At 48.4% G+C, this 27,776-nt stretch overlaps 1 protein-coding gene across 1 annotated transcript in view, besides 1 other annotated feature; it reads right to left on the bottom strand.

The window, feature by feature from the left end:
• Positions 1-27,776, bottom strand: part of PLEKHG4B (pleckstrin homology and RhoGEF domain containing G4B) — a 97,799-nt gene that overhangs the window by 30,865 nt on the left and 39,158 nt on the right. The window contains exons 3-11 of the mRNA NM_052909.5: positions 18,386-19,619; positions 15,846-16,055; positions 15,599-15,722; positions 14,182-14,275; positions 7,503-7,589; positions 4,111-4,227; positions 3,659-3,757; positions 2,892-3,031; positions 2,191-2,329 (exon numbers count right to left, since the gene is read on the bottom strand). Coding sequence (NP_443141.4) covers positions 2,191-2,329; positions 2,892-3,031; positions 3,659-3,757; positions 4,111-4,227; positions 7,503-7,589; positions 14,182-14,275; positions 15,599-15,722; positions 15,846-16,055; positions 18,386-19,619 — 2,244 coding nt within the window. The remainder of the gene's footprint in view (positions 1-2,190; positions 2,330-2,891; positions 3,032-3,658; positions 3,758-4,110; positions 4,228-7,502; positions 7,590-14,181; positions 14,276-15,598; positions 15,723-15,845; positions 16,056-18,385; positions 19,620-27,776) is intronic.
• Positions 21,177-21,682: an enhancer, noted in NCBI's record as "H3K4me1 hESC enhancer chr5:137535-138040 (GRCh37/hg19 assembly coordinates)". NCBI's record gives its function as "activates a minimal SCP1, AML or CMV promoter by ChIP-STARR-seq in primed H9 embryonic stem cells {active_cell/tissue: H9 hESC(primed)}" and the evidence as "EXISTENCE:reporter gene assay evidence [ECO:0000049][PMID:30033119]".

Here is a 27,776-nt window from a genome sequence, read left to right as displayed (position 1 = left end):
ACAGGAAAGTCTGTGGCTTCCACCGAGAAGCAGGGCACAGGCAGAAGGCTGGGAGTGGGATGGAAGCTAAGCACAGGCGCAGGGCCTTCCAGCTGGCGAAGGGAAACTAAAGTGACTGCTGGCCATGAAGGTGGAGTAGAGATGCTTTTAGATACCACGGCCTCAAAAATGCTCACCCCAAGATCCCTTTCTCTGGGAAGTCCTGGAAGTTATTCTGCATAAAACGCCAAAGTAAATGAAAAAAGAGGAAGACTTGGATACAGGAAATAGGAGACCACAGGATGGGGCAGAGTGGGGAGGGAGATGGAGGAGACCCCAGGAAGAGCAGAGGGAGGAGGGGAGATGGGGGAGACACCCCAGGAAGGAGTAGAACGAGGAAGGGAAGACGAAGGAGACCCCCCAGGACAGGCAGAGGGAGGAAGGGGAGATGGGGGAGATCCCCCAGGATGGGCAGAGGGAGGAGGGGAGATGGGGGAGACCCCCCCAAGGACGGAGTAGAACGAGGAGGGGAAGATGAAGGAGACTCCCAGGACGGGCAGAGGGAGGAGGGGGAGATGGGGGAGACCCCCTGGGATGGGCAGAGGGAGGAGGGGAGATAGGGGAGACCCCCAGAATAGGCAGTGGGAGGAGAGATGGGGGAGACTCCCAGGACGGGCAGAGGGAGGAGAGGAGAAGGAGGAGACCCCCAGGATGGGCAGAGAGAGGAGAGGAGATGGAGGAGACCCCCAGGATGGGCAGAGGGAGGACAGGAGATGGAGGAGACCCCCAGGATGGGCAGAGGGAGGAGAGGAGATGGAGGAGACCCCCAGGATGGGCAGAGGGAGGAGAGGAGATGGAGGAGACCCCCAGGATGGGCAGGGGGAGGAGGGGAAGATGGGGGAGACCCCCAGGATGGGCAGGGGGAGGAGGGGAGATGGAGCCAGGATAGAGCAGAGGGAGGAGGGGAGATGGAGGAGACCCCCAGGACAGAGGGCACAGACTGGAGACAGCCCGGACTGGCTGGTGGCTGCAGCTTGGCCTGGACTCCACTTGCCTGGTGTGGGGTTCCTGTTCCTGCCCCAGGGATTGGACCAGCTGGGCCCCTGGCCAATATTTGGGAGCTGGGGTCAGTCGTGGGGAGGCCAGGAGCATGCACAGTGCCTCGCGTCCCTGCTGCACGTCTTTGTCTGGAGGCCCCCGTGAGGGCACGCGCATGGACCTGAAGGCCGGGGGAGCTTTGCCAGCAGACAGGAGGGCTGGGGATGCCTCCACCCCACTGCTGCCTCTCCATGCTGCTGGCTCTTTCACCCGCACATTCATCGCAGCAATAGTTGTTGATAAAATAATAAGGATTTATATAAAAATGTGCAAGTTTTGAAGAGTTTATATGTGAGAAAAGAAAGAAACTTTTTATCTGAGTGTGCACCCCTTAAACTGTCAGGCCCAGAGGGGCATCAAAATGAGGCAGCAGCATCATCTGCACCCCTGAGCTAAGCAATCATTTCGCTGGTGCCCCCCGAGCTAAGCAATCATTTCAGAGCCACTGCTATATGGACCCCAGATTCTGCAGTGTGTCCACCAAGGGCCATCAATAACCCCAGCCACGCCACACACTGTGCACAACTCACACCCTGTAGTCCAGCAGCGTGTGGCCAACCCCCACCAATGCCATTTCTGTGACCCAGAGAATTCATGAAAAGCCACTTCCGTCATCACCCCCTCCCGATTTGTCCTCTTTTCTTTAAAACCTTGAGCCTCTCCCTGGCCTCCAGAGCCACTTCTTGAGGTCATCTGGAGGTGTTTCCCAGGCTGCCGTCCTCAACCTTGGCCCAGACTCTCTCTACCTGTGTCGGTTTCACCTCGGCTTCTCAGTCACTGTGTACGCATGCACATGGAGAAAGCGTCCGGAAGATACACCCAGCTATTCACACTGGTAGCATCAGAAGGCACAGTGTGAAATTATTTTTCTCCCTGGCCTCCTCTGGATTAAACAAATTTTTTTTCTCCACTGATCCAGTATCTCTCACGTAAAAAATAAAATTTATTTCTTTTTACACAAGCAGCAAGGCATGCCCTATCCTGACATAATTTCATTCCAAATGGAAATCAGATCAAGGCCCTAAAGACACAGTGTGAAGGTGAGAGGGTTGCCTTGGCCAGCCTGGCCTGGAGGGGATGCTGACCGGGCCGCCTTCCTCCTGCAGCTCTGACCTGGTCATTCCCTTCCAGGAGTGACGCCAGCTCCCGGAGGTGCTCCAGCTGCTGGAGACGATTGTTCGAGGTGAGGACCAGCCTGTGCACCTCCTCATCCACTCGGTCGTACAGGCTTGTGGCGGCCTCCAGGGTGTCCCTGAGGAAGAGAAGGCAGTCCTCAGGCTTCCAGGCGGCCCCTTGAGGAATCTGCTCTTGGTGACAACCCCATATAAAAACCCTGCTCTTTCCATTCCCTCATGCCACAAGGCAACGGGAGCCCCAGGAGGAGGCCCACAACCGAGGCGGGGCACAGATGTGCTCCATGCGTTCTGCCAACATCCTGGCCGGCCTGGGTTGCAGGTGCCTGGAGGGGACCCAGGTGGGGCAGCTTAGGCGGGACTGGCTGTGTGCAGCTGAGATGGACAGGGACTGCTGGGGGTGGGCACAGCTCCCCAGGCAGCACTGGTCAAGAATGAGCTCATTCTGATGCACTCTGACCACCTCCTGCCGAGCATCCCCAGAAGCTGGCTCCTTGATCTTTGGAGCCTGTAAATGTGGAAAAGCTCTGACCCAGGCAAAGCGTGGCTGTCAGAATGGAGGTCTGGACCAAGCACAGAGGGGGCTCTCCTTGGAGCAGAGCGCTACGCCTCCTGGTGCAAACTCCCCCGAGCAGCTCCCTCGATGGGCCAGGGCCCAGCATGACCCCTGTGAGCGCTCACCGGCTGTCTTCTGTGCCAAGCTCTTCTCTCCTCAGCCGCGCCAGGACGGTGCCCCCCTCCAGCCTGAGAGACACAAGCAGTGGGTCTTCCAGGACAAGCTTCATCATCGTCTCATGCTGGTCAATTAACTCGGCGACTTCCTGCACGGGATGGGGAGGAATAAGCCTTTAACTCCCTCCTCCAAGGGGCAGGTCCTCCCAAGTGTGACAGTGGCAGGAATGTCCTGTTTCCATAAATCAAGCTGCAGGCCTGGCGGCATGACAGTGCCCACTCCTCAAGCTGATGGTCCGGACTGTCCCAGGGAGGGTGGGCCCCAGGATAAGATCCCTGGGAGGGAGAAGAAGGGGGCTCAAAGCTCAGCTGTAGGAGGTGAACCTGCCATTTAGACCAGGGACAGACATGCAGACCTCACTCACAGACTCTGGGCCCCTAGACCTGGCGGCTGGGCTGTCAAGAGCCCTGTGGCCAGTTCGCCTCTGTGTCTTGTTGGAATGGCTCGTTCCGAGCAGCGGTTGCCGCTCACACCTGTTGCATATCATCAAATGCTGTGGCACGGTTTTCCTTCTGGGTCGGGTGGGATGTTTTTGGTGACAAAGGGGAGGAAATGGCCTTTTCTGAATTAAGAGGGATCTACAAATGAAAAAGGATTTGAAGGTCTCTGCTACAGATGATAGTGAACCAAATATTTATTTTCAAGTTTGGCTAACCTTTATGCCCCCACCTACCTGTCACATGAAATGAACTTACCTGCAAGTCTGAGGACTCACCTGGGCTGTTCTTGGGGTTCTGTGGGTGTTCAGGGAGCAGAATGAATTCTGTAGGAAAATGATGGCTTCTTCACAGTTTGCAGCGAAGTGTTCCAGCCTCTGTTGTGAGTTGAGAGGGAGGAGATTATAAGAACACAGTCTGTTAAATGCTAAAGTAAGCAGCTGTGAGTTCCAGTTTCTGCATTTAGACCGATCTCGGGTTGGGAAGCTTCCATATGTGAAGATCCCTGAGATCTACAGACACTTCCGGGGCGGCAGTGCCCTTCCCACCCGGGCTCGGCATTCTCAGATGCACCACGGCGTGGTTGTGTAGACACGAAGACCTGAACGGCGACTGTAACAAGCATCAGATCAGGGACGGTGATGCCCTTTTCAAATTCTAGTAAAAACAACCACATAACAGAAAGTCCCCAGAGACTGTCGCATGTGCAGCAGCTGCAGGCTGAACCTACCTGACGGAAGCAGATCCAGTCACCATGGCTGTAGGGAAAGGAGCCGTCGAGGTCTGCGGTCAGCTGGCAGCTGTCAACAAATTTGTGCACGGCCTTCAGGGAGCTCACGACCTCACACTGCCAAGAAGAGGCACTCGTTGGTCATGGCTCCAGATGCATCTCTTGGGGGCAAACACTGTAAATGGCTCATTCCTGGGTTCAGAGGATGGAGAGGCTGGCTCAAGGAGTATCGCCCCTGCTTTGCTGGAAGCACTGATAATAGCACGGGTCTGGGTGCAGTAATGAAAGCGAGAAGACGGGAAAGAAGGGAGCTAAGACAAGTGAAGGAAAGGCCTCAGTGAAGAAAAACCAAAAAAAAAAAAAAAAAAAAGGGAGGAAGGAAAAGGGAAAGAATGAGTCAAGGCTCTTCTCCTTCTGGTGTGGCAGAGGTGGCCCTTCTCAGATAAAACCCACAAACTCTGGACAAAATATAAGGAGAGTTTCCTGAAAGCCCTGGCAGCCGAGCCAAGTCAGGCTCATTGTTGGGGCACCTGATGCATGCGGGGCCAGCAGGGGCGAGTTCCCACAGTGGCTCCGTCCTCAGGGCCGCTGCCCGCGTGTGGGAGTGGCTGAGCTCCAACAGAAAACAGGCATCCTTTTGACAGCAGGTGGCTTTGTAAAAAAAAGAAAAAGAAAAAGAAAGGGAAGGGGCTGGGCACGGTGGCTCATGCCTGTAATCCAAGCACTTTGGGAGGCCGAGGCAGGCGGATAATGAGGTCAGGAGATCGAGGATATCCTGGCCAACACGGTAAAACCCCGTCTCTACTAAAAATGCAAAAATTAGCTGGGCATGGTGGTGTGCACCTGTGGTCCCAGCTACTCAGGAGGCTGAGGCAGGAGAATTGCTTGAACCCAGGAGGTGGAGGTTGCTGTGGGCCGAGATCATGCCACTGCACTCCAGCCTGGCGACATAGAACGAGACTCTGTCTCAAAAAAAAAATAAAGGAAACGAGAGGGGCATCTGGCCGGTGTGGTGGCTGACACCTGTGATCCCAGCACTTTGGGAGGCCAAGGCAGGTGGATCACTTGAGCCCAAGAGTTCAAGACCAGCCTGTGCAATAGGACAAAACCCCCATCTGTACAAAACAAAATACAAAAATTAGTGGAGCGTGCTAGTGCATACCTGTAGATCCAGCTACTGAGGAGGCTGAGGTGGGAGGATCACCTAAGCCTGGGGAGGTCAAGGCTGCAAGCAGCCGTGATCACACCACTGCACTCCAGTCTCAGCAATACAGCTTGATCTTGTCTCAAAAAATAAAAACATAAATAAAATATAAAAACAATAAGAAAATGGGCATCTTTCTTGCCTGAAGAAAGAAGAAACAGAGGACGGGGTGGGGTGGCCACACCACTGGAAAGTGAAAGTGGATTCCCAGAAGGCGGCAGCTGTGGAAGAAGCCCCGCGGTATGTGTGTAAACTCTGCCCAGGTCTCTGGCTGACCCTGAACCGTGCATACATGGGGGAAGACTCAGAATTAAACTGAACCCACTGTGGGTGACACAGAGCTGCCGGTTGGAGTCTAACCACGTTACGTGCACACTAGAACAACACTGTGAGTCTATACCAGAATCCAGTCTCCCCAGCAGAATATTCACAATGTCCAGGATTATGTGACACATCATGAATCAGAAAATGGGACCTATTCTCCAGGGAAAGACAATCAGCAGAGGCCAACCCAGAGATGACCCAGATGTTGGAATTATTAGACAAGGACTTCAAAGCAGCCATTAAAACTGTGCTCAATGAGGTAAAGGAAAAATGCTTGCAATTTATGAAAGGAGAGGAAAACTCAGGAGAGATGTAGAAAATATATTTTAAAATCCATTGGAAATCTTATAGCTGAAAAATACAATATTTGAACTAAAACATTCACTGGGTAAATGTATTAGTCTGTTTTCACACTGCTGTAAAGATACTACCTGAGACTGGGTAATTTATAAAGGAAAGAGGTTTAATTGACTCACAGTTTTGCATGGCTGGGGAGGCCTTAGGAAACTTACAATCATGGCAGAAGGCAAAGGAGAAGCAAGACACATCTTACATGGTACAGGCAAGAGACAGAGTAAGGAAGGGCCACACTTTAAAACCATCAGCTCTCATGAGAACTCACTCACTATCAGAAGAACAGCATCTGCCCCCATGATCTAGTCACCTCCCACCAGGTCTCTCCCTCCACACGTGGGGATTAAAATTTGAGAGGAGATTTGTGTGGGGACACAGAGCCAAGCCACATTAGTGAGTTTAACAGCTGAAGAGATGACAGAGTAAGGAGCCAGTGACCCTAAGGACAGGATCAATGGGAACAACCTGATATGAAGACTAGAGAGGAAAAAAGTTAAAAAAGACAGATTCTTAGAGATCTGCGGGACAATACTGGTATACGCAATTGAAGTACTAGAAAGAGAGAGAGAATAAAGCAGGAAAAAAGTTTTTAAGAACTAGGCCAGGTACTGTGGCTCAGGCCTACAATCCCAGAGCTTTGGGAGGCCAAGGTGGGAGGACTGCCTAAGGCCGGGACTTCGATTCCAGCCTAGGCAACATAGCAAGAACCTGTCTCTTAAAAAAAAAAAAAAAGTAGCTTGGCATGGGGGTGCACACCTTCAGTCCCAGTTACTCAGGAGGCTGAGGTGGGAGAATCTCTTGAGCCCAGGAGTTTGAGATTACAGTAAGCTCTGATTGCACAACCACACTCCAACCTGGGTGACAGAGCTAGATGCTGTCTCAGGAAAGGAAAAAAAAAAAAAAAGACAGAAAGAATGGCTAAAAAGGTCCTAAAGGTGGTGATAGACATGAATTCACAAATTTAACGTTCAAGCCTAAACTGGATAATGAAGAAAACCAAGCCCGCTCGCATTGCGATTTGCTCAAAAGAAAGGAAGTACCTTGGAAACAGCCAAAGGAAAATTAACACACTTCATAGAGATGAACAATGATCTGAATTATGATGAACTTTTCTTCTAAAATTATGGAGGCCAGAAGGCAACAGAGCAGTATCTTTAAAGTGCTGAGGGGAAAAGGAGAACTCCTCTCAAACCAGAATTCTAGATGTAACAAAAATACCCTTTCAGAATGAGGCCAAATGAAGAAGATGTTTTCAGATAAAAGAGGAAGATACAAAGAAAGAGAAGGAAAGAAACCATATGAGGTGGAGAAGAAAGGTCACATTTTTAAGTTTTTCATGGCATACTCTGCAGGACTCCTGCAAGAACTTACGGGGTAGGAAGTAGGTTTCCAGGCTCCCACATGGATGCAATTAGAACTTATCTAAATTCCTTCATGTGTTTCATCTCATCTAGGTGCCTTAATGTTTAATTTTATCCATCACTCAGGATCCCACAGTCTAAACCATTACCTGAATTATTGCATCCTTGTCAGGCCTAAATGCAGATTCTTTATCTACCAACAGCAAGATACTATGAATTATAGGAGATGTGTTGTTCTGAAATAAATAAGAAATAAATATTACTGATTAGCTTTCTAATTTTTAACTTCATTAATAGAATTGCCCAATTTTGAGTGGTACTACTTCTGTCATAGTTTCCCAGAGTGCCTACAGTGCATAAAACATGGCTGACTTTGCCCTGAAATGTAAATTATTTGCCCTTATGAATTTTTAATGTAATCAGGTTTATCGAGGTATAATTTACATACAATAAAATTCACCCTTTTTAGTGAATAGTTCTATAAGTTTTGATGAAAGCATAGTCATGTAACCATCACCACCATCAAGACAAAGAACTGTTAAGCAACCCCAAAATTCTCTTGTGCCTCTTCGTAGCCAAGCCCTCTCCTATGCCCAGCCCCTGGCAACCACTGACCTGCTTTCGTCTCCACCGACTTGCCTTTTCTAGACATAAATAGACTCAGGCAGGAGTGGCCTCTCTCACTTAGCATTGTGCATTGGGAACTCATCCCTGTTGTGGAGATCAACGGTTTGTTCCTCTGTTTTGCTGAGCAGTATTCCACGGTATGCCTCACCACAATCTGTTCATCCATTCACCAGCTGAAGGATAACTGGGTTGTTTCCAGTTTTTGGCAATCATGGGTAAAGTCACTATAAATATTGTGTGAACACAAGTTTTCATTTCTCTTGGATAAATATCTAGGAGTGGGATTTCTGGCTCATGTGATAAGTAAGTATTTTCCAGAGTGGCTGTACCATTTTGCATTTCCATCAGCAATACCAAGCATTTGTTACTGTCAAGCTTTGTTACTGTTTTTGTGTGTTTCATTTTGGTTTTCAGTTGCATTTCCCCAGTGATTAATGACGTTAGGCATATTTTTATGTGCTTATTTGCCATCTGTGTATCATCTTCAGTGAAGAGTACTCAAATCCTTTCCCATATTTTATTGGGTTGTTTTCTTATTACTGAGTTTTGAGACCGTATATATTCTATATACAAGCCCTTTATCAGATGTGCATTTTCAATTGTTTCATTGTGGTGAAACACTATCATCATCATTTTTCAGTGTACTGTTCAGCAGTCTTAGGTACATTCATAACGTAGTGCAACCACCACCACCATTCGTCTCCATAACTCTTTTCATCTTGTAAGAGCAAAACCCTGCACCCGTAAAAGAAAAACTCTCCATTACCCCCTGCTCCTGGCACCAGGCAACCATAATTCAACTTTCTGTCTCTGGGATCTGGGCTACTCTGAGTACTCATAGAAGTGGAATGTTTGTCTTTTTGTGATTGGCTTATTTCACTCAGCATGTTCTCAAGATTCATACATGCTGTGGCATATGTCAGAATTTCCTTCCTTTTTAAGGCTGGATAATATTCCATCGTAAAGATAGGCCACATTTTGCTTATCCATTCATCTGTTGATGGGCACTAAGGTTGCTTCTGTGTTTTAGCTGTTATGGATAATGCTGCTATGAACACAGCTGTATAAATCTCTGAAACTCTGCTTTCAATTTCTTGGGTATATACCCAGACACAGTATTGTTGGATCATATGGTAATCCTATATTTACTTTTTTGAGGAACTGCCAAATTGTTTTCCACAATGAGTCACTATTTACTGTTCCCATCAACCGTGCACAAGGGTTCCAGTTTCTCCGTATCTTTGCCAACACTTGTTGTTTTTTTACAATAGCCACCCTAATGGATGGGGAAGTGGTATTTAATTGAGGTTTTGATTTGAATTTCTCTAATCATTAATGACATTGAACATCTTTTCATGTGCTCATTAGCCACATATATATCTTCTTTGGAGAAATGTCTATTCAAGTCTTTTGTTCATTTTTGAATTGGGCAGTTTGGTTTTTGTTGTTGTTGAATTTTAGGAGTTCTCTATATATTCTGGATATTAACCTCCTATCAGATACATAATTTGCCAAAATTTCCCCCCATTCTGTGGGCTGCCTTTTTACTCTGTTGATAGCGTCTTCTTATTTACTTTTTTTGAGACGGGGTCTCTCTCTGTCATCCATACTGGAGTGCAGTGGCATGACCATGGCTCACTGCAGCCTTGACCTCCTGGGCTCAAGCGATCCTCCCACCTCAGACCCTTAAGTAGCTAGGACTACAAACATGCACCACCATGCTCAGCTAATTTTTTTTTTTCATAGAGACAGAGTCTTACTATATTGCCCAGGCTGGTCCTGAACTCCTGGGCTCAAGCAATCCTCCTGCCTCAGCCTCCCAAAGTGCTGGGATTACAGGAATGAGCTACCACATCTGTCTGGTAGTCTTTTGATGCACATTTTTTAATTTTTGAAAAGTCTGATTTGTCCATTTTTTCTTTTGTTGCTGGTGCCTCTGATATTATATCTAATAAATCATTGCCAAATCCAATGTTAGAAAACTTTTGCCCTATGTTGTCTTCTAAACGTTTTATAGTTTTAGGTCTTACAATTAGGTTTTTGATCCATTTGAGTTAATTTTTTATATGGTGTTTAGGTAAGAATCTAAGTTCATTCTTTTGCATGTGAATATCTAGTTTTTTAAGCACCATTTGTTAAAAAAGACTGTCCTTTCTCCATTGAATGGTCTTGGTACCCTTTTCAAAAATCATTTATGTATATGATTGTTAGTTTCATGGCTTTCTACTCTATTCCATTGTTCTATACGTCTGTTTTAATGCCAGTGCCAAACTTTTTTGATTACTGTTGCTTTGTTAAGTTTTGAAATCAGGAACTGTGAGTCCTCCAGCTTTGTTTTTATTTTTTACAATTGTTTTGGCTATTTGGAGTCCTTTGAGATTCCCTATGAATTTCAGGATAGGTTTTCCTATTTCGGCAAGAAACAACAGCTTAATTTTGATAGGGATTGCACTGAATCTATACATCACTTTGTGTAGTATTGATATTTCAATACAATATTAAGTCTTCCAATCCTTGAACATGAGATATCTTTCTATTTATGTCTTCTTTAATTTCTTTCAGCTGTCTTGTAGTTTTCAGTGAAAAAGTCTTTCACTTCTTTGGTTAATTCCTAAGTACTTTATTCTTTTTGATGCTATTGTAAATGAACTGTTTTCTTAATTTCCTTTTCAGATTGCTCACTGTTAGCATAGAGAAGTGTGACTGATATTTGTGTGTTGACTTTGCATCCTGCTACTTTGCTGAATTAACTTATTTTTATTTATTTTTTTTTTTTTGTGGAACTGTTAGGGTTTTCTGCATATAAGATCACATCATCTGGGAATAGAGATAATTTTACTTCTTCCTTTCCAGTTTGGATGCCTCTTCTCCCCCACCCCCCACTTTTTCTTGTCCAATTGCTCTAGCTAGAACTTCCAGTAATATGTTGAATAGAAGTGGGCATTATTGCCTTGTTCCTGATTTTAGATGAGAAGATTTCAGTTTTTTTGCCATTGAGTATGATATTTGCTGTAGATTTTTCATATAACTTTTATTATGTTGAGGTAGTTTCCTTCTATTTCTAGTATATTGAGTGCTTTCATCATGAAAGATGTTGAATTTTGTCAAATGCTTTTTTTTTGGCATCAATTGAGATGATCATGTGTTTTTCCCCCTTCATTCTGTTTACACTGATCAGTTTTCATGTGTCGAACCATCCTTGCATTCCAGGAACAAACTGTACTTGGTCAGGGTGTATAATCCTTTCAGCCTGCTACTGAATTTGATTTGCTAGTATTTTGTTGATGATTTTGGCATCAACCTTCATAAGGGATATTGCTCTACAGTTTTCTTTACTTTTAGTGTCTTTGGCTGGCTTTAGTATCAGGGTAATGCTGGCATCATAGAATGAGTTAGGATGCATTTCCTACATGAATTTCTTTTGAAAAAGTCAATAAGGAACTTACATGCTTGTAAAAAGTTTTATGGAAACTGAGTTTTGGCACTTCACACTGTATCTACCTTGTGTTAGAGAAGCTAACTGAGCTTTAGAGCAACGCACTGTGAACCTTTTTTGGTGAACACTAACAATAAGCATATGTATTCTTTTTTCCACCCTGATGTCACTGCCTTAGGTTTGCTCAGCAGGTGTGCGCTCTTCCAGATTCCTCTTGTGCCCAGGTAACCTCTGGTCAGCTCTGTTTCCTCCCCTAGCATCTGTTCCTTGACTGTCATTTCTTTGTCTAGGTGAAGCACAGACCACTGCCCAGGTGCCCAACCAGGGACAGCTCATGCTCATGCTGTGGTGCAGGGCCTCATGTTCCTTTCTTGGAGGCCTTGAGAATCTCTCAGAACCTCTCTGATCAGTGCCTCCCCTGGCTCCAGGCCTCCCTGAGGCTTTCCTGACAGTGTCTGTGCACTGAGGACTCCTGTCTAGCCTAGCTGGTGCAACCCAACTCATGGCACTTCTTGTCTGGACCTCGGCCTGTGCTCTCTCCTCCCAGTGACTCCTTCCTGACCTCAGGGAGTCACCTCAGCCCCTTGTCCAGCCCAAGGTCCCTGTCACTTGCTCCCAGGCCAGCCAATTTCTGCTGGCCCAGCCACCCTGTCAGGGAGTTCTGGAGGATGCCACTGCAGGGCTCAATGTGAGTGGATCCCACTCTGTAAGGGGGGTCATGACTGAGCCTGTCTCCTCCAAGTCTCAGGTAGGACACTGACATTTTCTAAGAAGAGCCACGTACTGCGAAAGTAAGAAGAAACCACAGGCGGGACTGACAGTGAGGAGGGGGACAAGAGGCAGGTTCACTCTAAGGCAAGGGGAGGCAGGCTCGATGCAAGGGGGAAAGTGTGGGGGAGAGAAGTGGTGGCAGCAGGGTGGAGAGAGAGGAGGGAGGACTGTAGGGCCAGGGGAGAGGAAGGGAGGGCCGCAGGGTCAGGGGAGAGAAGGGAGGACTGTGGGGGAGGAGAGGAGGGGGGAGATGAGGGAGGACTCCAGAGTTAGGGAAGAGGAAGGAGAACTGCAGGGTTGGGGGAGAGGAGGGAGGACTCTGGGGGAGGAGAGGAGGGAGGACCTTAGGGGAAAGAGGAGGGAGGACTTTAGGTTGGGGAAGAGGAAGGAGGGCCACAGTGGGGACAGGAGGGAGGACTGTGTGGAGGGGAGGAGAGAGGATTGCAGGGGTGAAGAGGAGAGATGGCTGCAGGGTTAGGGAAGAGGAGGGAGGACCATAGTGGGGAGAGGATGGAGGGCTACAGCTTGTGAGAGAGGAGGAACCACTGTGGGGGTGGAGAGGAGGGAGGACCATGGAGGAGGAGAGGATGGAGGACTATGGTGGGGAGGAGGGAGGGTCACAGGGTGTGGGAAAGGAGGGAGGGGGGCAGGGTGGGAGAAGTGGAACGACTGTGGGGGTGGAAAGGAGGGAGGACAGTGGAGGGGGAGAAAAAGAAGTACCATGGAAAGGAAGAGGAGGGAGGGCTGCAGAATGGGGGAGAGGAGGGAGGACCACAGGTTGGGAGAGAGGAGGGAGGACTGCAAGTAGGGAGAGGAGGGAGGACTCCAAGTGGGGAGAGGAGTGAGGACCATGGAGGGGGAGAGGAGGGAGGACCATGGAAGGGGAGTGGAAGGAGGACTCCATGGTGTGGTGAGCTCTGCCAGTGCTGTCCCTGACTGATGTCTTTCCTGGCACAACCTGCCACCTGGTGTCCCTAAACTTGAGATTCCTCAGTGAGTATAGGAGCCTCTGCCTCCGTCTTCAGCAGGGACAGCAAGGGCGAAATGGGTTTAGCTTCGTGGAGTGCAGGTGGGGCATGGGAGAGGGCACCCTGGTTCTGTCCCCGTCCCCTCCCTGTCCCTGTCCCTGGACCCCCCTGTCCCTGGTCTCTCCCCATCTCTGAGCTTCCATCTGCCCCTGCTCAGGCAGCAGCATCTTCCCATCCCCGGTGCTTCCCATCTCTGGATGTTGCTTATGGTTCAGTGCAGGGCCCCTAGGCCACACACAGTGGCTCATGCCTGTGAGCCCAGCACTCTGGGAGGCTGAGGTGGGTGCGCTTGAGTCCAGGAGTTCAAGACCAGCCTAGGCAATGTGGCGAAACCCCATCTCTAGTAAACATACAAAAAATTAGCCGGGCATGGTGGCATGCGCCTGTAGTCCTAGCTACTCTGGAGGCTGAGGCAGTAGCATGGCTTGAGCCTGGGAATTCGAGGCTGCAGGGACCTGTGGCAATGGCATTGACCCTGTCTGGGGCTGCCAGGTTCGTCCCCACCCTGGTTCATCCTTGCAGTGAACTATGGCTGCCCCTTCCTGCCTCTGTCCTTTGTCTGAAGGGTGATGCTGTGCTCTCCATCCTGACAGAGGGGCATAGCGGGGGCAGCTGCACTGGGCAGGGATGGGGCTGCGCTGCCCTCCTGGGACAGGTGCCCACCACCCGGGCCTGGCTGGCTTTGCATTTTAGGTTTGCAGTTGCCCTGAGCATGAAGCTTCCCCAAGTCCCCAGCGGATGGGCCAAGCCCACCTTCCCCAGTGTCTGTGCCTGGCCCCAGAGAGCAAGAGCTGGACTCACTGGGAAGACCCCAAGAAGGAGGTGGCTCTGCACAGGGGCCCCCATCTCGAATCTTCACACTAAGCCTGTGGACTGGCTACTCCAGAACCACGATGTGGGCAGCCCCAGCAACACACGGCCCTACGATGCTCTGCACACCCAAGGGATATGACAACCTTGCCGTACCTGCAATCCTGAGAGGGCCTGGGAGACGGCAGGGGCAGCTGGACTCCTGCGTGCATCCACCAGGACAACCAGCCCCAGGTCCCGGACCTCTTTCCTGGGGAGGGAAAGACAGCCCATCTTAACCACTGAAGGTTAAATCTCTTACAAGAACGAGTTTCTCCACCTCTGAGGCTAGTTGTTACTGGTTTCCTTTCAGCTCTAGAAGTTAGGGGTTCTCTATACACATCAACCTTCCACTTCCCGAAGGTGCAGGCCCATCGGCTGGAGGCACTGACGTTGTTCCTCTCGTGGAACCTGCTACTGATGTCAGACAGTGTCTCTGGGCACATGGGGCTGGGGCTACTTTCCCCTAAACACCCACCAATGCTCCTGGATGGACGAAATGGGCCGTGCTCCATCAAGGGAGCAAGGACTTCAGGGCCTTCTTGCCCTCATTTATTTGGGCTTTAACGTAAGCACAGAAGGTGATTCTGATGGGATGTGGATGGCCTGTTCCCAAGATGGAAGCTTGAGATCAGTCAGGAGGGTCCTTACTTATCCAGAGCCAAGCTAAGACTGTTAGAACATCTTTTAAAACTAAAAATACCATCATGTGGTTTTGAAAACTCCAATTTAAAAGCTTTGTCTCTGTGATTGTGATTAGAAACTTCAGTTCAAAATTTAATAGGAGAGAATGGTAGGTGGGGTGAGTTGATATATTCATTTTACAAAATTTTAGTGTTCAGCTGGTCTGAAGGTAGTGAGTTATCTCATTTGATTGTTCACACACATTACAGATCAAACACCTTATTCTATTCTTTCCCCCTTCTCACTACTACACTTGACTAGTCTTAAAAAATATTTAGCCTGGCGAGGCTGAGGCGGGAGGAGGATCGCTTTAGCCCAGGAGATTGAGGCTACAGTGAGCTGTGATTGCACCACTGTGCTCTAGCCTGGGCGACAGAGCAAGACCCTGTCTCAAAAAAAAAAATTTGTGTGTGTGTTTGTTCTTTGAGAAACTTCTTTAGCTCTAACTCCAGGATTAACTGACATTCTAATTAAGTTGTGTGTCTGGACACTGATCTTACAGCACTCTTGTGAGCCAAGGACATAAGAGAACCCTGACTCAAAGCCGGCAGAAGCTGCACATCACACGGATGGCTGAATCCTGGTCCAAAGAGTGAGTGTGCCCTGTCTGCCCCGTAGCCAGGTGTGTTTAATTGTGGGTGTCACTGGGAAGGATGTGTAGAGAAGGCAAGAAATGGTGTGTAGAAATCAAGGCTGGAAGCACATGGGTGCTGACTGCTCTGAAAGATGAGGTTAGGAGAGGCAGAGTCTGGCCATGGAAGCTGGCACCTCCCCGTGCCCCCCACTTTGCCACACACATGCAGCTGGGGTCCCATGGGTCTGCAGGGTGCGGCCTTGCCCCCCGTCCCACCTGGGGATGCTATGGAAGTACAGCAGCAGGCGGGTCAGCTCAGCACAGGACGAGTGTTCCCTGGTCCAGAGCAGGCTCCTGGTGCGGACCTGCACCACTGCTCTGCCATGACGGTCTCGGGTCCCTGCGGAGACAGAGACAGGGCAGCTGCCAAGGGCTTCACTCCTACAAGGTGGTGAGCTGGGTCTGTGCTGTCGGCTTAGATGTCAGATCCGCCCTGACAGGAGAGCCTGGCATGTGCTCTCACCTGGGAGGGTGACGACCCCGGACTGCAGCAGCTCCTGACTGACGTCCAGCACCTGCTTGGGCACCTGGCTGGGGAAGTCTCCTGTGCCGGGTGGCCACCCTTCTTGCTCGGGGTGTGGCTGCCGGGCAGGCACATCGGAAGGCCCGCTGGGGTTGTGGCAATGGAGGCTGCCGCCGTCTGTGCTGACACAGGCTGAGGATGCAAGAACGTCTGGACAAAGGAAAGAGGCCGTGTCAAAGATGAAGGTTTTCCTGCGCGTTGAAAGCAGCTGCTATGCTCAGCTTGCTATGAACCATGGGACAAAAACACGCATGAAAGTAGGGGGTTCCGAGAAAACTTGTCCCAGTTCACACGGGAAGTGAAAGCATGTCCCACTGCACAGGGCATGCGGCGTCATCACGGACACGCGGCGTCATCACGGAGACGGAGTCTCCAGCTCACAGACATGCTCACTACCTGCAGACGCCTCAGGAGGAACAGGTCATCTCATCCCTACTCATCTGCTCAAAGTGCAGCATGCGTGACTGCATGTGGTGTGTGACTGCGCGTGCATGTGTGGTATGTGTAACTCTGGCACGTGTGATTGTGTGAGGCATGTGACTGGTGTGTTACTGTGTTTGTGTGATTGTGTGTGTGGTATGTGGAACTCTGGAGTGTGATTGTGTGAGGCATGTGACTGCGTGTGGTGTGTGACTGTGTGTGTGGTATTTGGAACTCTGGAGTGTGATCGTTGGAGGCATGTGTCTGCGTGTGGTGTGACTGCGTGTGTGATATGTGTAACTCTGGAGCATGTGATTGTGTGAAGCATGTGACTGGTGACTGTGCGCGCGTGTATCGTGTGAGGCATGTGACTGTGTGTGTTGTGTGATTCTGTGTGCGTGTCGTATGTGGAACTCGAGCATGTGATCATGTGAGGCATGTGACTGTGTGTGGTTGTTATGGCGTGTGTGTGACTGCGAGGGGTGCTGCAAGATTGTGTGTGTCTTTTCTGCCCAGTACAACAGGGAAGAAAATCAATACAAAGGAAAGGTGAGGGGCTGGAAACCACGGGGAGGGGTTAGGACTTCTTTTCACTTTAGCTGAATTGCAGTGAGGCGACAGAATACTCTCAGGTAGTGTTGCCCCCAAGTGAGTACTTCTGTTACAAAGCTCTTTCTGCGGTAGGTCCCGTGTGTGTGCGGCACTCTCCGGGACCTGTCAGAAGTTCCAGGCACAGCAGCCTAACTTTGAAGGCGAAAGGCTCTCGTGAGGTGGCTGGAATGGGCTGGGCCACACTTCTGTTTCCAAGGGCTGTGGTGCCATTGCCTCCGAGCCCCTGGTCAGGCCAGGCAGGTAGGAGGGGTTGGCAGGGCAGGCGTGGCTGTCTCCAGGCACCGCGGGGGGAGCCCACGGAAAGGAGGGCTCAGCCTGTCACTTTCCCGAGGTTGGGTGGCCCTACTTGCTGGAGCCTACATCAGTATGTTCACATTTTTTCCTTCTTTCCAAAATCACTGGTTGTGTTACTCACAGGATATTTCTTTACTCAAAAAAAAAAAAAAAAAAAAATGAAATATTTAAGAAATATGTTGTCATTATTTTCTTACTTTATGTCCTGCAAACTTAGTCTTTTAAATCATCACATTTTCTCTCCTAACCCTTGGAAACTGTGAATGTGGCCTCCAGTTGGAAACTGAGTCTACGGATCTGGATGTGAGGTCGTCCTGGGTTTAGAGGGGCCCCGAATCCAGCGATGGGTGCCCAAGAGCAAGGAGAGGGAGATTCGAGTCAGAGAAGCACTGGGGAGGAGGCCACGGAGGACGGTCAGAGGGCTGCAGCCACAGCCCGGGACACCTGGAGCCCCAGAAGCTGGAAGAGGCGGGATGGGTGCCCCCGGTCCTCGGAGGGGAACACACTCTGCCCACAGCTTGATGTTGGACTTGTGGTCTCCAGAACGTGAGCGCCAATATGAACATGGAGACAGGCTTCTTGTGGATCAAGTGACCAAACAAAACTGTGACAGGGTGGGAGGGGGACAGTGCAGGGGGAGGTTGTGGGGTGTGCAGGGGAGGGGGTGGGGGTGTGCGGGGAGGGGGTGGGGGTGTGCAGGGGAGGTTGTGGGGTGTGCAGGGGAGGGGGTGGGGGTGTGCGGGGAGGGGGTGGGGGTGTGCAGGGGGAGGTTGTGGGGTGTGCAGGGGGAGGTTGTGGGGTGTGCAGGGGGAGGTTGTGGGGTGTGCAGGGGAGGGGGTGGGGTGTGCAGGGTAGAGGGTGGGGGTGTGCAGGGGAGAGGGCGGGGGTGTGCAGCGGAAGGGGTGGGGTGTGCAGGGGAGGTTGTGGGGTGTGCAGGGGAGGGGGTGGGGTGTGCAGGGGAGTGGGTTGGTGTGCAGCGGAAGGGGTGGGGGTGTGCAGGGGAGAGGGTGGGGGTGTGCAGGGGAGGTTGTGGTGGTGTGCAGGGGGAGGTTGTGGGGGTTTGTAGGGAAGGGGGTGGGGTGTGCAGGGGGAGATTGTGGGATGTGTAGGGGAGGTTGTGGGGGTGCGCAGGGGAGGGCGTGGGGAGCATTTACCTTCCTCTTTGGTGCAGCCGGGACCCTCTACTGGGACACAGTTTGGGGTCCCCACAGCTTGTCCTCCTAGGTGGCCCCCAGGCCTGGAGCCTGCTGAGTGGTGGGAGGTGTGGCAGGCTGCAGCCTGGGCCCCTCTGGAGCTTCTGGGTGCCCTTTCCCAGGACCGAGATCTCCTGGGAAGAGTCCGCCCTGCAGCTCCTGGACCTGTCCGGCTGGGTGTGTGCCTCTCCTTCTCTAGACTTGGGGTCTGTTGGGGGTCTCCCCGGGGGCCAGAGGTTTCCTCCTGGGTCCCACTGGCTACTGCCCCAGTCCCCAGGTCCCTGCTGGCTCCAGTCAGGGAGCTGCAGGCCAGGTCCCCGAGGGCCTCCTCAGAGCTGCCCAGGGGCATGGGGTTCCGCAAGGCTTCCATGTACGACTCCCTGAACCAGCGTCTAGGCTGCACACAAGTGGGGTCCCCCGGCGGCCGCCTCCTGCTGCTCGGGATGCCCAGGTCTGTGTGGAAGGTGAGGGCCTTGGGTCTGTCCTCCTGGTCCATGGGGTCCGGCCTCTCCCCCGACCCCCCACAGTTCTCAGGGGGCATCCGTGGGCCCTGCTCTGAGGGGCTGACCTTTTCGAAGTCCCTGTCTGAGCTTCCAGACAGGGTCCTGGGGCTTCCCAGCTCGGCTCTTTCTGGATAAGGAAGGTGCCTGAGCTGGTCGCTGCCCGTATGCCCTCGGCGGCAGGGTGAGGTCAGGGTGTCGGGGCAAGAGGCGCTTCCCTGGAAATGGGGGCCTGCTGTGGCTTGGGTGGGGACTGGGGCCTCTGAGGGGCTGCTGGGCAGCCGCTCAGGACCTGTGCAGCTGGAGTAGCTCTGCAGGATGGCTCCAGGGCTGGGGACAAAGACAGGGTCAGTGACGTCGCTCCACGGGGCTCGGTGGACGGCCAAGCCTGAGGTCAGCAAGCAGGTTTGCAGGGGGACATGGCGCCGCTCCCGGTTCACCCACTCCAGGAACGCCCCCGTGAAGACACAGCCATACATGGCCTCAGGGACGGTGACTTCCTCTGTGCCTCTTCCCAGCCGGGACAGGCATTTCAAGACCAGTCTAGCTGACTGCTTCCCCGCCGACGTGACCTGCAGGTAGAAGTCCCCGGGCTGGAGCCTGACTCCGTGCAGGGACGCCAGCTGCACCACCACCTTCTCATGGGCGCACAGCGGCCAGCCTGGGTGCAGGAAGACCAGACCCCTGTACCTGGCCTGAGACAAGAGAGGAGGGAGGTTAGTGGTGGGCACGGCCATGTCCTGAGCCCTTCCATGCCCTGGGTCTCCACCCCTCAGGGGAAGGTCAGTGACTGAGCTCCCACAAGGAAGGGGTCTCACGGGGGCTGGGGTGTCCTGTTCCTTGGAACATAAAGCAGGTCATTAGGACTAGAAAACACGGGCTGCTCTTTGGTTCAGGGGTCAGTTAAAAAAGCAATTGTATAGCTCTTCCTGGAGGCTGGGGGTAGGTGGGCAGGACAGGGGAGAGGAGGCCACTCGAGGGCCACAGCCACAGCCCACCAGGCGCTCCGAAGGATGAGTTGTCCCTCAGAGTGGTCCCAGCCTGGGCAAGGGGCCGGGCGTCCACACTTGCCCCTGCCAGCCCTGGTCAGGGCCACCCTATGGGGGGCTCCCTCCTCTGCACTCCCGGTGCTCCCTGTGGCTCCCGGCTGCTGCAGGCGCTACCTCGGCCTCCTTAGCGAGGGGTGCGGGTGCCAGGATGCTGGTGAATTTCACTTCAGTATTTTCTCTGTTCCCTTTAAATAGCTGAGATCCCACTCCATTTACAATTGTGTACTTTAACTATTTTCACCCAATGTGATTTCATTAGCATTTCCTGTGCTATTAGAAACTGCACACAGATCACTTAACTGTTGAGTGTTTATTTTCCCCAAATGTTGCTCTGACAAACTAAAATACAGTAAACATCTTGGGGCCTAGAGCCCCGCCTGGGTTTCAGTTGCTTCTGCAGAATCTTACACCAAGTTCAAGTTCAACCCACCCACCAATCATGTTTTGCACTGGTAACAAACATGCCTTAGGTGTTGGTGCCTTTTCTCAAGCACGAGGCCCATTCTCAGCTCAGCTTTACTATGCTGGCCTCAGGGACTCAGATGGAAGTCACAACCCCAGCTTTCCAGAATGGCAATAAAAATGCGCTAAAAACTTAAAAGGGCATTTGCCACTGAAAGAGACACACATGCAGATGGGGAAAGGTTATTCTCAAAAGCCTTTTTCTAATCATTTTCATCTTACTGGGCTTCAACTCTCGGAATGTAAAATCGAGTATGAGCATCCCTAGGTGGCTGAGGGAAGTGAAAACAAGTTCCTCAACTTTTACCAGAATTTAAGCTCAAACTTCACGCAAGGGGAGAATATACTGAACAGGAGGCATAAAACGGAACTATCATTGATATGGCAAATTTGACTTAAAGAATGTAAAGTTACACCCTCATTTCAGAAAATAACCTGAACAGATGAAAGTAATGTAATGCAGAAAACTAGAAAATATTCATCTATTTCAGAGGGAAGCAATTAGCTGCCGGTGGGGGGCGGGTCCCAGGGTCTTCTGTGGGCCACTGGCAAATCCAAGTGGTCATTTAATCGTCTGACGTCAGGGTGGGCCCTGGAGCTGCTCCACTCCAGACCCACAGTCCATACAGACATTGGCCCACCCAGTTTTCAGAAACGTCTGCGCGTGTTCCTCACACCGGTGAGCAAGCCGTTCAAGAAGCGGCTCCTTGACACCCTCCCCAGACGCTGCGAGGCGGCCTGAGGAGCTGTGTCCTGGGCTGGATGCCTGGTGGGGCCACCTCCATCCCCTCCACAGGTTTCACCCCAGAAGAGACAGGTACCTGCCGGTCCATAAGGGCCTCCCCGAGCCTGGCCCCCAGAGTCCGTCCCCGATCCTATTGCCCAGCACAGCCATATTGGTGCCCAGGGCATGTTCCTGTGAAGTGGTGATTTGACGTAAAATGCACAAGTGACTGTTGAAAAAATCGTTGTGACTTGTCCTTGTAATCGCACCACTAGACTTTTTCCAGAAAACAGAAATGGGAGGGTGTTGGAGCCTTTCATGCCTTTTGCCCTCCCACAGGGGTCTACAGGTCTCTACATATCAAATATTTGATGAGACAAAACCTATTTCCAAACCCTATTTCCAATATGCATAGGGTTTCTTCACTGTAGAAGGGAACTGGTCCGGGTTAAGGCAGTGGCACAGCCCAGAGCAGGAGGGAAGTCAGAGACTGTGGGGAGGAGGGTGTGTGTGTGTGTAAACAGATATAATGTGAAGTTCACCAGCATAACTATGTTTACGGGGTACAGTTCAGTGGCATTAAGTACATTCACACGGTTATGTAACCATCACCACCATCTCCAGAACTTTCCATCTTCCCAAACTGAAACGGTGAACCCATTAAACACCAGCTCACCATTCCCCTGCCCCTGAGCCCCTGGCACCCACCATTCCACTTCCTGTCTTGACGAGTTTGACTACTTCATACAAGTGGAATCATCCAACATTTGTCCTTCCAGTACTGGCTCCTATCCATTGGCACAGTATCCTCAAGGTCTATCCATGCCACATGTGGCACGTGTTGGAACTGCACTCCTTCTGAGGGTTGCATAATCTTCCATTGCGTGTACATACTATATTTTGCTATCCATTCATCCATCCACAGGGTTGCATAATATTCCATTATGTGTATAGACTACATTTTGTTCATCCATCCATGAACACTGGGGTTGTTTCCACCTTTTGTCTGCTGTGAATAATGCTGCTATCAACACGGGTATACAAATATCTATTTAAATCCCTGATTTCAATTCTTTTGGGTAGGTGCCCAGAAGTGGAACTGCTGGATCATAGGGTGATTCTGTGTTCACTCTTTTGAAGAACTGTTTCCACAGCAGCTGCACCATTTTACGTCATCACCAACCACGCACGAGGACCCCAATTTCTCCACATCGTTCCAAGCACTTGTTTCCCAGTGGTGTTTTTCCTTTAATAGTGTTTTCCTATTAATGGTGTTTTCCTTTAATGGTGTTTTTCCTTTAAAAGCTATCACAATGGGTGGGAGGTGGTATCTAATTGAGGTTTTGATTTGTGTTTCCCTCCTGATTAATGATGTTGAGCATCTCTTCATGTGCTTATTGGACACTTGTATGTTTTCTTTGGAGAAATACCTGTTCAGTCTTCTATCCATTTTTGATTTGCGTTATTTTTGTTGTTGAGCTTTTGGAGTTTTTCATTCATTCTGGATATTAATCCCTTATGAGATACACAATGTGCAAATATTTCCCTCATTTTGAAGGCTGCTTTTATACTGTATCAATAAGGCCCTTTTTATGCAATAGTACCCTTTTAAAACATTGGATGAAGCCTATTTTTCACTTTTGATGGTTGTGCTTTTGGTGTCATATCTAAAAAATCTTTGCCAAATTGGATGTCATGAAGCTTTTCGTCTATGTTTTATTCTAAGAGTTTTATAATTTTAGTTTTGACATTTAGGTCTTTGATCCATTTTGAGTGAGTTTTTGTAAATGGGGTTTAGGTAAGGGTCCTACTTCATTCTTTTGCATGTGGATATCCAGTTTTCTAAGCACCATTGATTGAAAAGACTGTCTTTTCCCCAGTGAATAGTCTTGGCACCCCTGTAGAACATCACTTAGCCATATACGTGAGGGTTCATTACTGGGCTCTCTATTCCACTCCACTGGTCTGTGTGTCTGTTTTTATGCCAGTGTCACACTGCTTTGATTACTGTAGTTTTGTACTAAGTTTTAAAATCAGGAAGTGTGAGTCCTCCAACTTTTTAGCTCTTCTTCAAGATTGTTTTGGCTATTTGGGGGTCTCCTGAGATTCCACTTGAGTTTTAAGATGGGCTTTTCTATTTCTGCAAAAAACACCATTGAGACTTTAATAGGATTGCACTGAATCTGTAGATCACTTTGGGTAGTACTGACATACATATATATATATATATATATATATATATATATATATATATATATATTTTTTTTTTTTTTTTTTGAGATGGAGTCTTGCTTTGTCGCCCAGGCTGGAGTGCAGTGACATAATCTCGGCTCACTGCAAGCTCTGCCTCCAGGGTTCATGCCATTCTCCTGCCTCAGCCTCCCCAGTAGCTGGGCCTACAGGTACCTGCCACCATGCCAGGCTAATTTTTTTGGATTTTCAGTAGAGACAGGGTTTCACTGTGTTAGCCAGGATGGTCTCGATCTGCTGACCTCATGATCCGCCACCTCGGCCTCCCAAAGTACTGGCATTGCAAGCGTGAGCCACCACACCCGGCCCATTTTACAATATTAAGTCTTCCAATCCATGAACATGAGATGTGTTTACAATTATTTACATCTTCTTTAATTTCTTTCAGCAATGCTTTGTATTTTCAGTGAACAAGTCTTTTACCTTTTTAGTTAAATTTATTCCTAGGTATTGCATTCTTTTTAATACTATTATAAATCAAACTTTTTTTTTTTTTTTTTTTTTTGAGCTGGAGTCTCGTTCTGTCACCCAGGCTGGAGTGCAGTGGTGTGATCTCGGCTCACTGCAAGCTCCACCTCCTGGGTTCACGCCATTCTCCTGCCTCAGCCTCCCAGTAGCTGGGACTACAGGCGCCCGCCACCATGCCCAGCTAAGTTTTTGTATTTTTAGTAGAGATAGGGTTTCACCAAGTTAGCCAGGATGGTCTCGATCTCCTGACCTGGTGATCCGCCTGCCTTGGCCTCCCAAAGTGCTGGGATTATAGGCATGAGCCACCGTGCCCGGCCACAAATTGTTATCTTAATCTTTGGGTTGCTCATTGTTAGTGTATAGAAACACAACTGATTTGTGTTGATTTTGTATCCTCCAACTTTGATGAATTATTATTTCTAACAGGTTTTACTTTTCTTTTCTTTTTTTTTTTTTTTTGAGACAGAGTCTCACTCTGTTGCCCAGGCTGGAGTGCAGTGGCACGATCTCAGCTGACTGCAACCTCCACCTCCCAGGTTCGAGTGATTCTCGTGTCTCAGCCATCCGAGTAGCTCGGATTACAGGCACACGCCACCATACCTGGCTAATTTTTGTATTTTTAGTAGAGAGAAGGTTTCACTACATCGGCTAGGCTGGTCTTGAACTCCTGACCTCAAGTGATCCACCTGCCTCAGCCTCCCAAAATGCTGGGATCACAGGCATGACCCACCATGCCTGGACTTCATTTTTTTTAATTTCAATAGGTGTTTCGGAGAACAGGTGGTGTTTAGTTACATGAATAATTTCTTTAGTGGTGATTTCTGAGATTTTGGCGCACCCATCACAGTGGAGGGTGCACCCAATGTGTAGTCTTTTATCGCTCACCTGCCTCCCACCCTTTCCCATGAATCCCCAAAGTCTATTGTATTATTCTTATGCCTTTGCATTCTCATAGCTTAGCTGCCACTTATGAATGAGAACATACAATGTCTGATTTTCCATTCTTGGTTATTTCACTTAAAATAATGGTCTCTACTTCCATCCAGGTTGCTGCAAATGCCATTATTTTGTTCTTTTTTATGGCTGAGTAGTATTCCATCACATATATATATATATATATATATATATATATATATATATATATATATTCTATCATATATATATATTCTATCATATATATATTCTATCTATATATATTCCATCATATATGTAGTCCATCTCATATATATATATTCCATCATATATAGTCCATCTCATATATATATATTCCACCATATATATATGTGTGTGTGTGTGTGTGTGCGTGTGTGTCACATTTTCTTTATCCACTCGATTGGTGGGCATTTGAGCTGGGTTCATATTTTTGCAGTTGCAAATTGTACTGCTATAAACGTGTGTGCAAGTGTCTTTTTTGTATAATGACTTCTTTTACTCTGGGTAGATACCCAAGAGTGGGATTTGCTGGATTAAGTGGTAGATCTACTTTTAGTTCTTTAAGGAATCTCCACGCTGTTTTCCATGGTGGTTGTATTAGTTTACATTCCCACCAACTGTAAAAGTGTTCCCTCTTTACCACATCCATGCCAACATCTATTATTTTTTTATTTTTTCATTATGGCCATTCCTGCATGATAAGGTGGTATCACATTGTGGTTCTGATGTGCATTTCCCTGATAATTAGTGATGTTGAACATTTTTCATATATTTGTTGGTCATCTGTATATCTTCTTTTGAGAATTGTCTATTCATGTCCTTAGCCCACTTTTTGATGGGACTGTTTTTTTTTCTTGCTGATTTGTTTGAGTTTCTTGTAGATTCTGGATATTAGTCAGATGAGAAAAAAATAAAGGGCATCCAAATCAGTACAGAGGAAGTCGAACTGTCGTTTTTGGTTGATGATATGGTCATATACCTAGAAAACTCTGAAGATTCCTCCAAAAAGCTCCATGAACTGGCAAATGAATTCAGCAAAGTTTCAGGACACAAAATTAATGTACACAAATCAGTAGCTCTACTACACACTAACAATGACAAAGCTGAGAATTGAATTAAGAACTCAACCCCTTTTATAATAGCTGCAAAAAATTAAAATAATTAGGAATATACCTAACCAAGGAGGTGAAAGACCTCTACAAGGAAAACTAGAAAACACCGCTGAAAGAAATCATAGATGACACAAACAAATGGAAACACATCCCATGTTCACGAATGGGTAGAATCAATACTGTGAAATGACCAAACTGCCAAAAGCAATTTACAAATTCAATGCAATTCCCATCAAAATACCACCATCATTACTGACAGAAGTAGAAAAAACAATCCTACATTCATATGGAACCAAAAAAGACCCCACACAGCCAAAGCAAGACTAAGCAAAAAGAACAAATCTGGAGGCATCACATCACCCGACTTCAAACTATACTATAAGGCCAGAGTCACTAAAACAGCATGGTGCTGGTATAAAAATAGGTGTATAAACCAATGGAACAGAATAGAGAACCCGGAAATACACCCAAATATTTACAGCCAACTGATCTTCCTCAAAGCAAACAAAAACATAAAGTGGGGAAAGGACACCCTATTCAACAGATAGTGCTGGGATAATCGGCTAGCCACATGTAGAAGAACAAAACCGGATCCTCATCTCTCACCTTATACAAAAATCAACTCAAGATGGATTACAGACTTAAATCTAAGACCAGAAACCATAAACATTCTAAAAGATAATATCAGAAAAAACCCTTTTAGACATTGGCTTAGGCAAAAACTTCATGACCAAGAACCCAAAAGCAAATGCAACAAAAACAAAGATAAATAGATGGGACTTTATTAAAGTAAAAAGCTTCTGCACAACAAAAGAAATAATCAGCAAACGGATGACCCACAGAGTGGGAGAAAATCTTTGCAATCTATACATCCAACAAAGGACTAACAGCTAAAGTTTTTATAAAATCTTTAGGGTTTTCCAAATACAAGATCATGTCATCTACAAACGGATAATTTTGCTTCTTAATTTCCAGTTTGGATGCCTTTCACTTTTTTTTTTCCTTGCGTAACTCCTCTAGGAAGAACTTCAAATACCATGTTGAATAGAAGTGGTGAAAGTGCGCATCCTTGTCTTGTTCCTGGTATCAGAGGAAAAGCTTTCAGTCTCCCACCGAGGACAATACTGTTTGTGGGTTTTACATATATGGCTTTTATTATGTTGAGATAGTTTCCTTTTATTCCTAGGGTATTTTGTTTTTATCATGAAAGAGTGTTAATTTTGTCAAATGCTTTTTTCTGCATCAATTGAGATGATCAGAAGAAGCTTCTTCCATTTATGCAGCCAACAGACACATGAAACTATGCTCATCATCACTGGTCATCAGAGAAATGCTAATCAAAACCACAATGAGATACCATCTCACACCAGTTAGAATGGCAATCATTAAAAAGTCAGGAAACAACAGGTGCTGGAGAAGATGTGGAGAAATAGGAACACTTTTACACTGTTGGTGGGAGTGTAAATTAGTTCAACCATTGTGGAAGACAGTGTGGCAATTCCTCAAGGATCTAGAACTACAAATACCATTTGACCCAGTGATCCCATTACTGGGTATATACCCAAAGGATTATAAATCATGCTACTATAAAGACACATGCACACGTATGTTTACTGCGGCACTATTCACAACAGCAAATACTTGGAACCAACCCAAATGTCTGTCAATGACAGACTTGATTAAGAAAATGTGGCACATATACACCATGGAATACTATGTAGCCATAAAAAAAAAGCATGAGTTCATGTCCTTTGCAGGGATATGGATGAAGCTGGAAACCATCATTTTCAGCAAACTATCACAAAGACAGAAAACCAAACACTGCATGTTCCCTGTCATAGGTGGGAATTGAAC

This window comes from Homo sapiens, chromosome 5 (assembly GCF_000001405.40).
Source record: "Homo sapiens chromosome 5, GRCh38.p14 Primary Assembly".
Classification (NCBI taxonomy): domain Eukaryota; kingdom Metazoa; phylum Chordata; class Mammalia; order Primates; family Hominidae; genus Homo; species Homo sapiens.
This window is presented reverse-complemented; position numbering and strand designations above follow the sequence as displayed.